Consider the following 13,425-nt stretch of genomic DNA (forward strand, 5'->3'; position numbering starts at 1 on the left):
CCTTAGCCTCCCACAGTGTTGGGATTACAGGAGTGAGCCACCACACCCGACTGACAGGAATGTATTTCCATGCGTGATGAAAGATATAAAATAACATGGAGTCATTAGGCTTAGGAATTAGAAATTATGTGCTCCATGTGAAAGGTACTAAAATGAAAAAGCAAAAACTAACGTGCAGGCCAATAAAGCATCAGCCACAGCTGCAGGATAAATAAAAGAAAATGTATGCTTTGGAAGTAAATATCTTTTAACCTCTATATAGGCTATATTTTGTATTTACGTAACTATTTGCTAAGCTTACCTTACAGATATAATTTTTTTTCTAATTTTTACTTAGGTTAGCCCCAAAGTCTATATACTGTAAACCAGCTATCTCTTGTTATAGAAATGTTTACCAAAAGAGCTACAGACTTAGCAGCTACTAAGTATAATAAATATAAATCTTTATAAATCAGTGAATATCTATACCTGTATCTATATGTGCGTATGTATGTTTGTATCCCTAAACAGAGCTTGTTTGACCGCAGTGAAATTTATGAAAACTTGAAAACAGGTGAAATTATATTTTTGTCTTTGAGATGATCACTGTAGTTAAATTAAATATAACTAATTTTATAGCACTTCATATTTTAGATAATTTGGCTAATCCAAGACTAACTTGATCTTGTATTTAATTTTTTTCACTTATTACTGAACCAGATTGTCAATAACTAAGTTGTTTAAATCAATGTTAATAATAATTAGACGACTAAATCAATGTTAATAATAATGACCACTATTATGCCGGTAGTCATTTGTCCATATTTACACCATGGGAATTAAGTAGGTAGGATTTTATTTTCTATTCATGAGAAATCAAGAATTAATCTGTAGTTATGCTGCATGGGTCAGCTCTGACATACAGGTGCAAAGTCATCTGCTTCCTTTTGCTTTCTTTTCATCAGTTTATTTTTTCCCCATTCTAAATTTCTCTTCTCTCACCATGCTCTTACCCTTAACTTCCACTAGAAATTCCTCCTAAGTGATCTACATCCTAGGGCTTCAAAGAGTATTTGTGGAAGATCATTAGCATCTAGTTGAGGCTTTCCTATAACAGTCACAATGTGACATGCATGTTTCAATAGAGATTTATGCAAAAATGCACAAACCAATATCTCGTTCCGTAATTTATTGTTCTGTCAGGAAGAAAAAATCCAATGAGAATTATCACTGAAATATTTAAGAATATAACCTCATTTGAATAACAGAAAACCTGCTTTTCTAAATACTAAAAACTAACATTGATTTTATGCAAAACTGGGTCATTTCTATTCCCAATATTTTGCATATGCAATTATTCCCAAATGAAATGCCTTCTCCTTTAATCCAATTTTCGTTTACTTTCTTCATAACCCATATACAAACACCCCATTTACAAAAACAAAAAATATTTTGCTATTTACTCTAAATTTTTTTACTCATTTAGTCACTATCCTCTCAATGCGTTCAATGTTTCTTCTTGTCTATTTACACTGGTACTAACTTGGAATTCTGGCACTCAATACTTGTAGAAAGAATGAATGAAAGAACACAAGATGTTTTGGGTGCATATAATTATACACCACCTTATTTTTCACTCAGGAGGGTAATTTCCTTCCATTGTTACTTTGTAAATGGATTGTAATGAATTTATAAGTCACATGGCTTTGTTTCTCACTGGTAAAGCTATCTCCTTCCCTACTACCAGCTGCCTCCCCGAGTCACTGTCCTGTTAACAGGCGCTACAGGAATCTGAAATCTGTTAAACTGACGCACAGGAAAATTATCTTAATTTGCTACACCAGTGAGAGCTGACAGATTGCAGGGCAATAAGGTCGATTTAACATAATGCTTCAAAATATATGCCCACTTGATGAAAACATTGTAGTGAAGATTGTGTAGTTATATTGAAATAAGTGGAGGATTTGATGCTTTGATAATTCTTAGGCATTTTTAGAAAATATCTTCCAACATTCAAATATAATTTCTGAAACTTTTTAAAAATTTAAGTGTAATTCCCAGGTTATGGATGCTTCTACAAACCTTTATTAAATTTCCTTGTGGAAACAAAAGTTAATCCTGAAGTTTGTCTTTACATGATTTACAAAAATGGTACTTAGGTTTCACACAAAAATGTAATTAAGTGATCAAACTGTCCGTAACAAACCTTTTATAGGAATTGCACTGTCTTCGTTTTCATTTTTCATTTCCTACAATCTTTCTTAATTTGAAATGGCAGCTATTCTATGTCTCTAGGGTATAGCAGTCCTACTCTGGAGCATAATCTTTTAAATCCTGCTTGTAACGTATTTCCAACGGGCACATTGTTGCAGAAATACCAATGACTGATAGCTGTGATGCTGCTCCTGGTGGGATCAATTTGATCAAGATCCCAATTCTGAATGAGGGCTTTAGCAACCAGAAGTAATTTTTCTAATGCTGACTAATGAAAAAGCAAGTAAAAGATGGATTAACTATGCCAAATTCATTGATTTTTTGCTTCACAAGTAACCACAGATATAAATATTTTGGAGTTGATCAAACAGGCTTTCAGTGACAGAGCAATAACAGGTGACCTTCTCCTTAGGGGAGGAGCTCTTAGGTGTTTGCACCGTATTATCTGCTTTCACACAACACCTTGAGAAAATGTTTAAGATGGATGAAAAGAAGCTGAAAAACAAATTTTGAATAAATTATAGATATAAACTTGATGATTGAAATTCCAGGATAATAAATCATTAAAGCATGGCACAATTCCTCAGTGTGTACACCCTTTCTCTTGCCTAGCCCATCCCCTCACACAGCTTTGAATCGCTCCTCTGTGAGGACATTGCCTTCATTTTATCTCCAGCTTCATTTGAAATCGAGGGCCGCATTTCTACCTGCTTAACGGCTATCTCCTCTTGTGTTCTCCTGAGATGTCAACACCAGGATATCTCCCAAATCTCATTCGTTCATGCCTTTCATTCATTTAAATTGAAATGTTGAATTTGTGATCAGTGGTAGGCTCTCTATTGAGGGCCCAAATACTATTAAAATGCTACCCTCTTGCTTCAATGCTAATGCAGCTGAGTCTAGGTTAGTATAAACAACATTTTTTATTTTTTTGTTTTATTTTGTTTGTTTTGTTTTGTTTTGTTATCGTTGTTGCTGTTGTTTTTATTTTTGAGGCAGAGTCTCACTTTGTTTCCCAGGCTGAAATGCAGTGGCACGATCACACCTCATTGCAGCTTTGACCTCCTGGGCTCTAGTGATCCTCCCAGTTCAGCCTCTCAAGTCCCTGAACTACAGATGCAAACCACCATATGCTGCTAATTTTTGTATTTTCTGTAGAGACGCGATTTCGCTTTGTTGTCTAGACTGGTCTCGAACTCCTGGGCTCAAGAAATCCTCCCACCTCAGCACCCAAAAGTGCTGAAACTGCAGGTGTGAGCCACTGCACCTGGCTTGTGGTTCAGCTCTCGATGAGCTTCCAGGAGTTAGCAAAGTCTTCTGGAAAGAGACAGGTGAGTTCAGGTGTGTCAGGTCTCAGCTGTGAACACGCAAAAGCGTGGATACATGAGACAGCACAAACAGCATGAGGACTGGAAGAAGTTTTGCATTCATTATAGGGAATGGAGGGACAGGAGAAAGAAACGAGGCTGGAGGAATGGGCAGGAGGCAGCATGTGTCTTCTTACTATGGAGGTCATCAACTTTGAACTATTAAGAGTGACTTCTTTATTGGTCTCTCCATTTTTAACTTTCCTACTGGAATCTGCGTTACATACCACTGTTAACACTTCCTAATGCACTACTTTGATAACTTAGCTCTTCTGTTTATAAATCTTTAAGAGTTCATAATGCTTAGTTAAACCTACAAAATATTAACTATTTTCTATACCATATTTCCAGCTGCTTCTGCCTCTTTCCCCCTACATATTTATGTATGTGTCACATAAAATCCAAATGGCCTAGGGACTCAATAAATTCCCTCAACCCTCCTAAAATTTTTCTGCTCAATCTGTTCTCCAGTCTCATGACAAATTCTGTACTGTTGTGGGTCTCTATTGTAATAGTAATAATAATAAAAGTAATAATAATAGCTAGCATCGATCACATCTAAAAGTTCACCTGCATTACATTTCCTCTATGAACTCTTTCATAATTACTCTGTAAAAAGTGTGACAATGTTCTTTTCTGCACTCACTCGTGAATAAATGGACTGAAGATCTTATGAGTTTTTCACCTTTTGTGTTTAGTCACTTATGTTACACCTTAAACTCTAAAATATGAGATTATAGCTTAGTTGTTTAAAAAATTTCTTAAGACATCCAATGTAAGTCATTATATATAAAATGTTCACTGTACATTTGTTGTATACATTTGAATTCATACTATGAGAAAAAGATGAACTTAATAGTTCATGCAAAACTGCAGAATGTGTGTATTTTTGTAGACAGAGATGTTTCCTACATTTTTGAAATAATAATTTGAATTTTTCTAGGATTTATATCAGATGGCCTCTAGGAAAAATAATTTTAAAAAACAAGAAGAGACAAACATAGTATGTGACCTTAAATAGACTTATTATTTAACAGATTTAAAAGTCTACATGTATGTACATAATACAATTTATAATATTATATATATATGTATAGCTACATCTGTATCTATATCATATCATTTATATCTATATCTTTAAAGAGTAAAATAAAATGTAATCGAATTGCCTTAGAATGGCTTGGGAATCAAACATGATTGAACTCAACAAATAATTGGTCCATCAAACTCTGAAAGCCCATACCACCTTGTCAGCTAAGGTAACTTTATTATGTTGTGGAAGGCAGAAGCCCCAGTGGGAACAAACCAATTCCATTTCATCAATGGGAATACACCACAGCAATCAGTGCTGAAATATGGACTGTCCAATCTCATTTATTGCACTACCTAAGTGGATTGAATCAGAAGGGAATGGGCTCTCCCAGGTCTAAATTGCAATAGGTAATTTTCAGACAAGCATGGAAAGATTTGTGTATCAGAACCTTGGTGTGTTTAAAATAATAGGAAGGGATAATGTTTATTTATGCTGTGAGAATTATTGGTTATTTGGGAAAGACACAAGACCCTTCTGCTCCTTTTAAAATGCATATTAGAAAAAAATTCCCTATACACTTTCAGATTCTTCATTGTTTAAAACCATTTTGGAGGCAGGATATTGTATAGTTAAGAATACAGGAATGGGATGGGGAAAGAGTATGACTTTAACAGACTTGAAAAAATGTTTTAATTACCAAGAAGCCCCACCCCTCAGAGGACTTAGTTCAGTCTGTCAGTAAAAAATTTGATATGATAGCCAGAAGGAATTTTTTGAAAAATCAATCATCACCACTATCTCACTCGCCAGCCCAAATAAATAAACTCTCCTACTACATCAGTCCAAAAATTCAAATAGAAATGGCAGAGCATATCACCTGGCCTCATGACCAACAATGATAAATTATATAATTATTTTAATAATTTATATATATAATTACATAACACATTATTTGTTTATATAATTATATAATAAATTTTGTATTTATAATTATATGTATACTATATAATGAATTTAAAATACTTGCCAAAACATGATATCAGATATAATTATGAAGGGGCAATATGTTAATTAAACTCTACCTTTGAGGAACAAAAATGATCCATGGATTTAATGCAGAACAAAATAACTTTATGCACCTTGTTAGCATTAGCTATGACAACATCACAACAGCCAGCTGTTGAGCTAAGCCAGGATGTGTATGATTTTCCACTTGCAATTTTTCACCGAAATGGCTCAAACAACGTAAGCAGGATTTTCATTTTTTGGTGAATAAAATATAAAGATGTCTCACTCATAAATATGAAGCTTCAGCAATTTTCATAAAAATGGTGGTGGTGAAAAAAAATGGTACATCATTGAGCTATTTACCAACCAGTAGCAATCCCTAGAACCTGGTGAATAGAAGCCCTGGTTTTGTATGTCTGTGGTGAAACTCAACAAGGCACAGTGATTATCACAAGCTGTGATACTCTGTACTTTAACATAACCTGTAGAAAGAATGGAAACTCCTACAAACTTGGCAGCCTGCATTTATCAGTTGCATGCAGAGAGTAAAGTGTCTTTCCATGTTCAAATCCACATGGTAGATTGTTGGGTATGAAACCATTGGGTCCTCTGCCATTGGTAGCCCGCATAAATGCAGAGGACAGAGAGATTCTAGGCAAGTCCACAGTTCTCTGGCCCTTTCTCACTCTCTCTCATTGATTTTCATACTTAGCTCTTCCAAATTAAATGTTTCCAGTACTGGCAAGAAAAAGATTAAAATGAATATATTGTGCTTATTATATATGTGTTCAAGCAAATGAATGAGTGATAAATTTTTCTCTCAGCATTTTGAAAATAGTATTCTATTTCTACAGATCTTTTTAACTAGAGAGAATTCACCTACCAATTTCCTTTGAGGCCATTCATTTCAAATTTATTTATTTTAAGATTTTTACATCTATCATTGCCTTTCTACTATTTAAATATAATGTTCTTAGAATTTTTTTTAACCTAGTGATTTTATTTATGCAGCTAATAATATGACTTTTATCAATTCTGGAAAATACCCCAATATTATTTAAATATTGCCTAATATCCATATTATCTGTTCACTTCCTCTGAAATTCAAATACATGAATATTAGATCTTATTATTTTATGCAAAACTCTAGAACCGTAGATAATTTCTCAAGAGACATCATTCTGAGTCATCAATTTACTATTCTACTGAGTTTAGTGTAAAGCGTTATTTGGCTGTTGTGTTGAGAATATATTTTTGGAGTACAAGAACTTAAGCATGGAGATCAGGTAAGAAACCCTCAGTGTAATCCAGATGAGTTGGTAGTGGCACAAATACAAGGGAAGTAGGAGAGTAGTTACATTCTTGATATATTTTGAAGGCAGAGCAGCATGATTTTCCAACAGTTGGGGTGATATATAAGGGAAATAAAGATGTCAAGAATAGGCCGGGCGCGGTGGCTCACGCCTGTAATCCCAGCACTTTGGGAGGCCGAGGCGGGCGGATCACGAGGTCAGGAGATCGAGACCATCCCGGCTAAAACGGTGAAACCCCGTCTCTACTAAAAATACAAAAAATTAGCCGGGCGTGGTAGCGGGCGCCTGTGGTCCCAGCTACTTGGGAGGCTGAGGCAGGAGAATGGCGTGAACCCGGGAGGCGGAGCTTGCAGTGAGCGGAGATCCCGCCACTGCACTCCAGCCTGGGCGACAGAGCGAGACTCCGTCTCAAAAAAAAAAAAAAAAAAAAAGATGTCAAGAATAATGTTTAGGTTTTGACTGGAGCAACTATAAGAATGAAATTGCCATCGACTAAGATGTGGAAGGGCCGAACTAAAGGAAAGGAGAATGGGAATCCAACTGAGACCTGTTGAGTTTGAAAGTGTTTTGGGCATTCAACTGGAGATATTAAGTAGGCAGGTAGATATATAAGTCTGACTGCTGGAGAAAGGATTTTGTCATTTGTCATTCTAAAATTGACAGGTGACTAAGCTCTTAGAACCAAGGTAGATAATAGTTCTGCATATAGCCAAGATGTTATAAAAAGGATTGAATTTCAACAATAAAAAAACAGTTGACAAGAAAAAACAATTTTTAAGAGACTAGATATAAAAACAATAAAAAACAATTCTGAGAGATAATAAACAAGGTGAACCCTGTATTTTTCCCACCTTAAAAGAGTTTCATGCCATGATTCAGGGAGGGGGACCCTAGTCACTGCTCAGCAGACTCTCTGAGTCAAGGACTGGAGAGCCCAGGGCACTTAGAATTCACAATAACAGAGTGCCAAATAAGAAAAGAAAGCAGCAAAAAAGGAAAATGGAAACAAATTGGAAAATACATGATGAAGATGATACATGTAATCCTAACCTTGTCAATAATTACATTAGTTTTAAATGGTTTACGTACCCAGTTAAAAGGCAGAGACTGAAGATGGAATTAAAAAGTAAGACCCGTCTATACTTTGCCCATAAGAAATACTCTCTATAGATGAAGGCATAAGTTAATTAAAAGTAAAAGAATAACAATTATAGTTTCTCCTCCTTTCCTAATGTAGAGCGATGGAAAGAGCATTCCTCCCACATTTACAAGAAAAAAGCTAAACAATTAGCAAAATTACAACATTTCTTACATCAAACTAATCATAAAGCTGAGAGTGCAGAGCAACCCGATATCCTAAAATCTGCAGAGAATCAGGAGGCTTCTGTTTAGGGCTGCCAGATTTAGCAAACAGGAGCAAGATACTAAGTTAAGTTTGAATTTCAGGTAAACAAACAGACTTTTAGTCTAAGAATGTTCCAGATCTATGTAATTCAAATTTTACTTGGATTCTTGTGTTTATACGGTAACTATACTGCTGAAAGAAACATCTGAGCATTTTGTTATCTGAGATAGATTCTGCCCAATGCCATAAAGCTTATCAAAAATATTCATCTACTTAAAAAAATGCTAAAAGCCAAGGGTCGGCTAGCATGAGAATGTGAGGGCACTGGAGGTCACAGGTATCTAAATGGGTTCCCAAAGATTTCTCTCCATGAGTCTCTCTAGACACTCACATGAAAGATAGGCAGAAAATGGAAAAGGTTCCCATCATGGCGTTCCCAGCAGAAGAGGAGGAACGCCACTCCTGAAACTCTATCTGGATCCATCTTCCTTGTCTTTTCTATGGAGAAAGCCTTAATCTCGAAGGGAAATAGCAACAAAAAATTGTCACCTTGAGTCATTTATGGAAACCCATTGCAGCTCTGCGAAGGAAGCAGGAAGAAAAAGCTGTATGTGTTAATCTAGCACCACCTGAAAGGTGAGAGTGGTGCAAATGCCCATGAAGCCCAAATATGTTAGATGCAGGGATGCAGTATTGGACCAAGATTAAGTATTAATCAGAATATCAGAGAAAGCCTCTCTCCTTCTATTCCACCACCACCAGGCTAACAAGAATAGAGTGCATGGAGCTGGAAGAATTGTCACAGACAGATTCTTTTCAAGGTACAGCACAAAGAGAAAACCCAAAGTCAAGCTGTGAGCATACATTGATAAAATGACCTCAGCCAACCCAGCCCATATCCTGAACACATCACTGGATGAACCTGAAACATAAAAAACATTGAAAGTAACTACAATAACAATTCTCCAATGCAGACTGATTTCTAAGTTAACATAATCACCTATACAAAGATCTAGCATTAGAAGAAAAGAAATGACTTTCTCAATAAGAAACAGAAAACAAACTGGGAAATCATTTCTAGCAGACTACAAACATGTTAAAGAGTATTCTTCTAGTAGAAGGGATATCAGTCAGAAACACTACCAAACTTTTGAAGATGATGAATATGTTTATTACCTGGATTGTGACGATGATAACATGAGCATATACATATGTCCAGACTCACAAAATTTTATCCGTTAAATATCTTTATTTTTTTGAATACCAATTAAACCTCAAAAAGGGTGAAGAAAAAGAAACTTGGATCTACACAAAAGATAAATAGCACTGGAAATGGGAAAAAATGAAAGTAATAAATGTATTTCTTCTGATTTTGTTTTAAAAATACTGACATTGTTATAGCAAAAATAATAAAAATACATTCTGTGTGTATACATTTGTAAAGGTAAAACATGACAAAATGAACATGAAGGATGAGAGGGAGAAGTTATGAGTACAGGGAAAAGTGAGGAAAAGTATAGGGTTTACCTCGTTTCTAATCTCAGTGTTGTATTTTATTGCTTATATCTAGTGTTGTAAGATGTTTACTCTTTGTTTTCATTAGTTTTCTATTTCTGCATGACAATATTACTACAAATTTAGCAGCTTATAACAACCCCCATTTATTGTCTCACAATTCCATAGGACAGAAGTTTACACATGATATTACTGAATTCTCTGCTTACAAGAATAAGGTTAAAATATGTCAGGCTGAAATCTCAACTCGAGCTTGGGGTGCTTTTCTAGGCTCATTCAATTTGTTGGAAAAATTCGTCTTTGTGGTTTTAGGACTGAGGTCCTCATTCCCAGCTTGCTGACAACTGGACACTGTTTTCTGCTCCTAAATTCCACTAATATTCCTTGCCACATGGACCCCTCTATCTTCCAAATCAGCAACAGAAAATTTCCCTTGCATCAAATCCATTCCACACTTTGAATCTCTTTCAAAACTAAAAGGTCAGACTTTTAAAAGTCTCATTTGATTGTTAGGACCCCTAAAGATAATTTCCCTTCTTAAGGTCAACTGATTTGGGAGTTTAATTTTAACTATATCTGTAAAGTCCCTTCACAGCAAACCCCTAGATTCATATTTGAATAACTGGTAGAAGTTGTGTGCATACCAGGAGAGAGGTTATCACAGGGACCAACTTGGAGTTTTTCCATGACAACATGTAAAATGTTAAATTATTTCACTATAGACTCTGACAAATGAAATATATATATATATTTATTGTAAAGTCTACAGAAAACAATAAAAGTGTTTTGAAAAGGTGAAAAAGGAAATAGATTGTTAACAATTTTTAAATATTCAATAAAATATTCAATAAATTTAAAAAAAAGTCTGATGCTCTAAGCTGCTGAAATTTCGGAGTATTTGGTATGCACAAAGTGAATAAACACAACATGTTTACATCAAGACACTTCACCTGGGAATTTTGCACCTGGACTACATTAGTTTGACATTTATTGAGCAACTTTGGTATTTTTCCATCAGCACACAAAGAGGAAACTTCTAAGAAAAATTCTGACACACCCACTACTTTTTTTCAAGTAAGGAAAAAGAATTATTGATAATGTTGCTTACAAGTCACTTAATTCCTTCTTGACATGAGAGCACTTTCTCTTTGGTTTAAGTGACTGAAATAGCTGTGCTTCTCCTGACCAAATCACCTCTTATGGTGTTTCATGACATTGCAATGAACTAAGTAGCTGAATAATTCTGTCACTCTTTATTGGCTGCTGCTTCTTTTCTTCTTTCCAACTTCTATTTTAGGTTCAGGGGATGCATGTGTAGGTTTGTTACATGGGTAAATTGCTTGTTGCAGAGGTTTGGTGTACAGATTATTTTATCACCCAGGTAGTGAGTGTATCCCATTGGTAATAAGTATTTTTTTTGTTCCTCTTTCTCCTCCCACCCTCCACCCTCATGTAGGCTCCAGTGTCTAACCACTTCTTTTGTTGGCTTCTGAGAAGCAATGTCTAGCTATTTGAAAGCAGTTTGGGATACTCAACTTACCATGAGTTTTTCCTGTTTATCCAAACCTTCATTTTCTCTTTCCCAAGTTTGTTCATTTACTCACTTTAACCTTATTTCATTCTATAGGGAAGTACATATTGCCATAAACCCTCTTGGAAACAAAGTCATTAAAATAGGCAAATAATAAAAGGAAGATTATAATTAGGCCAAAGAAATGATCATACATTAGTTACTGAGTAGGGAAAGAATGGAAAAATATGGCCCTCAAATCACAGAAACCCACAGACTGCTAATCTTTATGTTACTAAAGTTAAACATTTCACCTGCAGCATCAATACTCTTAAGTATAGCTGGATATCTGGCAGTGTCAATATGATATGAAAACCTGATAGAAACAAACAAACCTGGACCCCTCCCTGCACGTACAGAATCAGAACTGTAGTCCTCTTCACAAATGACTCACATGCATCTAGTTTACTTAGTCTGAAGTTTGTAAAAAGGTGCCATCTGATGTTTTCTAGTGTCTTTCCTAGTATGATTGAAACAGCAGCTAAGGAATAAAATGCATTCATCACTGGAAATCTATTCAAGATATAAGAAAGATGTTATATGAAGTGATAAAGTATGCCAAAAAGCAACACAGTGAAAAAGGAGACTATAATAAACTTTAAGTAGTTAATAACTGATTGCTTAAAATGTATAATTATTACTTTATGTGCTTTACTGGTTTTATCTCATGGAATCCTTACATAGAGGTATGTGTTAGATTCCATAAATAGCCACCAGTTTTATGAAAGAAAAAAGAAAAGCAGAATGATTAAGCGACTTGTCTAGAGATTACACAATTTGTGGAAACCTTGATTCACAAGTCCTGAACACTTTGCCAGAGCATGTAAAAGACTTACTGACTCTTCTTAACTGACAGAGTAATTGGATTTTTATCACTTATAGCTGCCTATTTTCCATTTATTCTGAATCAGTTCAAATCTTAATAGCAAGTACAATATTAATTTGAAAACAGTGCACATATCAGGAATCATAACCACATTCTTTGCATATGTTGAGGTCAAGAAACCAAATTTTAGGAACCACTTAAAATTACAAATTTGCTTTTCATCTTTGGGCTGTGTCATTAAGGTTTTTGGACTTCTTTTGCTTAACTCTATCTTGTAGCTGTTGGACCAGAGATTGTTGTCTAAGAACCATTCCTCTCGAAATATTACAAATCTATATGTAGTGCTATCTTAACAAGTGCTTTAATGCCTTGAATGTTCAGTTTATTCTTTGGTCCTATCATTAGTTAACTTCTCATTATGGAAGGACTAGGATCAAAATCCTGCTGTATTATAAATTAAAACTGAACTTCAGTATTTTTGGGGGAGAAAGGCACTAAGTATACTCAACTCTACCATAACGCATCCAAAAATATATTCAGGTCTTCTTTCTAACAAATGACTCTAAAACTAGTCTTGTAAAAGGAATATAAGTTTTAACAGAAGTCAGTGTAAATCAAATGTATGTAAATAAATTGAGTAGCAGCTGCATATACACAATATTTTAATTTTTACTTCACATATTATGTGGTTTCAAAAGATTTTATTACATATACATACTATAATGTTTTTATGATTTTTGTTTGCCATTTTGATTGAATTGTCATTATGATAAAAACTTAATATTAAAATTTGGTTTATATTCTTATGTATAGGCTTCAGATTGATTTCTTAAAGTGAAATTTTTATGCAAACAATATATAAATATCTAATTATTTTAATTCCTAGACAAATATTCTTTGAGAAATATTATATGAAATGTCACTCCAAATCAGTGTGTCTAAGTGATTCGATCCTCCATTGACAGCCGTTAGTATTAGTTTCCTAAGTTTCTGACAATTTGATGAGAAAAAGTATCTCATTTGAATTTGCATGCCTTTGGTTTCTAATGAGACTACACTTGTAAGCATCTTGTAAGAATACTTCTTGGACAATTTTATGACTGCTTTTCTTAATTGTTGAAAACATTAAACCTTATCATTTTGTTATGTAATTTATATAATTTAATTGAGATATATATGTACATATTCAAGTCATATATATTGCAAATATTTCCCAGTTAGTCATTTGTGATGTTATTCTGTTTACATAAATTTA

The sequence above is a fragment of the Homo sapiens genome, chromosome 18, assembly GCF_000001405.40.
Source record: "Homo sapiens chromosome 18, GRCh38.p14 Primary Assembly".
Lineage (NCBI taxonomy): Eukaryota > Metazoa > Chordata > Mammalia > Primates > Hominidae > Homo > Homo sapiens.